This window comes from Homo sapiens, chromosome 12 (genome assembly GCF_000001405.40).
Source record: "Homo sapiens chromosome 12, GRCh38.p14 Primary Assembly".
NCBI classification, from domain to species: domain Eukaryota; kingdom Metazoa; phylum Chordata; class Mammalia; order Primates; family Hominidae; genus Homo; species Homo sapiens.
The window spans coordinates 91802983-91805656 of NC_000012.12; the positions used below are offsets into that span (position 1 = coordinate 91802983).

The window sequence follows — 2674 nt, forward strand, 5'->3', positions numbered from 1 at the left end:
ATCATCAGGGAAATACTAATCAAAACCACAATGAGATATTATTTTACACCTGTTAAGATGCCCATAATTAAACAAAAAAAAAAAACAAGAAAATAACAATGTTGGTGAAGATATGGAAAAGTTGGAACTTTTGTGCACTGTTGGTGGTAATGTGAAGTGATGTAACTTCTATGTAAAATAGTATGGAGGTTCCAGGAAAAATTAAAAATAGAACTACCATATGATCCAGCAATCCCACTTCTGGATATGTATCCAATTGAATTGAAAACAAGATCTCAACAAGGTATTTGCACCCACATCTTTATTTCAGCATTATTCATGATAGCTGAGAGTTGTAAACAACCTAATGTCTATCAATTGATGAGTGAATAAAGAAAATGTGGTGTATACACACATGGAATATTACTCAGCCTTAAAAAAGATGGATATTCCACAATACGTGATAACATGGATGAAACCTGAGAGCAGTATGTTAAGTGAAATTAAGCCAGGCACAGAAGGACAAATAGTACTGCATGATTCCATTTCTATGAAGTATCTAAAGTAGTCAACCTCATAGAAGCAAAAAGGAGATTGATGGTGTTGGAGGCTGGGAGAGGAAATGGAGACTTGCTGTTCAATGAATATAGAGTTTCAAGCATGCAAGAGGAAAGAGTTCTAGAGATCTGCCGTACAATATAGTTCATACAGTTAACAACAGTGTGCTGTACATGAAAAAAATGTCTTAAAAGGGTAGAGTTCATGTTATATGTTTTTACTACCATGAAAATAATAATCATTAATAATCTTTTTCTAATCATGATTCCTTGTAAATCTTTTTACATTGATTACTTTCTTAAAAAAAAACCTCGGAGGGGGGCCAAGATGGCCGATTAGAAGCGATTATGGTCTGCTGCACTCAAGGAGGGGAACAAAAGAGACTAGTGAATACAGCACCTTCAACTGAAATATCCAGGTAGTCACACTGGAACTGATCAGGGAAACAACTCAAACCACGGAAAATGAAGAAAAGCAGGGCGGGGCTATGGCCCACCCTGGAGCAACATGGAGCCAAGGGAACCTCCACACCCAGCCAAGGAAAGTGGTGAGTGATTGTGTGACCCTGGGAAACCACACTTCTTTCACAGATTTTTGCAATCCACGGATCAGGAGATCCCCTTGTGAGCCCACACCACCAGGGCATTGGGTGGGACACACAGAGCTGTGTGGAGTTTCAGCAGAGCAGCGGCTCAGGCACACACAGAGACCCAGGTGCTTTACATGCTCCAGCCCCTAGATGTGCAACAAACGTGTCTGCAACTCGACAAGGCAAGAGGTCTGCACATACCCCTAGGAAGTGGACAGAATCCAGAGAGCTGATCAGCCTTGTTCTGTGGGCCCCACTTCCAGGGCACCTCACAAGATGAGACCCACTGGCTTGGAATTCCAGTCAGCCACTGGCAATAGGGTGGAGCATGCCTGAGACTGAATGGAACCCCCAGGAGAATGGGTAGGCACCATCTCTGCTGTTTGATTGCCTCAGCCACTCCAGCCTGCAGGCTTTGGAGTGTCCAAATGGTCCAAATGAGGAAGGGTCCCCCAGCAGCTCAACACAGTGGCTTAGCCAGATCATGGCCTGACTGCTTCTCTAAGTGGGACCCAGATCCATTCCTTCTCACTGAGTGGTTCCTCCCAGCCAGGCCCACTGGCAGGTATTATTATGGACAGAGCTTTGATCTCTCCTTGGAACAAAGCGCTGGGGGGTGTGGAGGCCACCACCTGGGTTGGTTGGATGACTCAGTCATTCCAGCCTGCTGACTTTGGAAAGTCCAAGCTGACAGGCACAGAGGCCATTCCCTACCACAATATAGTTTTTGTCAAGGCATGGCCAGACTGCTTCTTTAAGAAATCTGCTTCTCTTCAGAGGATGGATCCTCCCAGCCAGGGGCTCCAGTCACCCTTGCCACTGTTATTTGAGGGGACAGAGCTCCAATTTCTCCCTGGGGTGGAGTGCCTCAGGGGTGGTGCAGGTGACCACCTTGGCTGTTCTGGCTCCTCAGCTGGTCCAGCCTGGGGGCCTTGGAGAGCCCAGACCAATGAGGGGCTGAAGGGGTCCCCAGCACAACACAGCTGCTCTACCGAAAAGCAGCCAGGCTGCTTCTTTAGGTAGGACCCTGATCACATTCCTCCTGACTGAATAAGACCTCCCAAATGGAGTCTCCAACCACTTCTTAAAGGTGCATTCCAGCTGGCGATAGGTCAGTATCCCCTGGGACGGAACTTCCAGAAGAAAAGGCAGGCTGCCGTCCCTGCTGTTTTACAGCCTTCATTGGTGATACCTCCAGGTATGGAAAGAACTGAGGTGGCTAGGGTCTGGAGCAGACCCCCAGGAAACCACAGCAGCCCCATGGAAGAGCGGCCAGATTGTTAAAAGAAAACAAAACAAACAGAAAACAACAACAACACAGAAAAACCACAAAAACCTCATCCAAAGGCCAGCAACCTCAAAGATTGAAGGTAGATAAGCCCACAATGATGAGAAAGAATCAATGCAAAAACAGTGACAACTCAAACAGCCAGAGTTCCCCTTTTCCACCAAATGACTGCAACACCTCTCCAGCAAGGGCTGAGAATTGGGCTGAGGTTGAAATGGCTGAAATGACAGACATAGAATTCAGAAGGCGGGTAATAACAA

At 46.2% G+C, this 2674-nt stretch overlaps 1 annotated feature.

Annotated features, from left to right (window-relative positions):
* Positions 1008–2207: an enhancer, noted in NCBI's record as "CDK7 strongly-dependent group 2 enhancer chr12:92197766-92198965 (GRCh37/hg19 assembly coordinates)". NCBI's record gives its function as "activates an origin of replication core promoter dependent on BRD2, BRD4, P300/CBP, MED14 and CDK7 cofactors, with strong dependence on CDK7, by STARR-seq in HCT116 cells {active_cell/tissue: HCT116}" and the evidence as "EXISTENCE:reporter gene assay evidence [ECO:0000049][PMID:35650434]".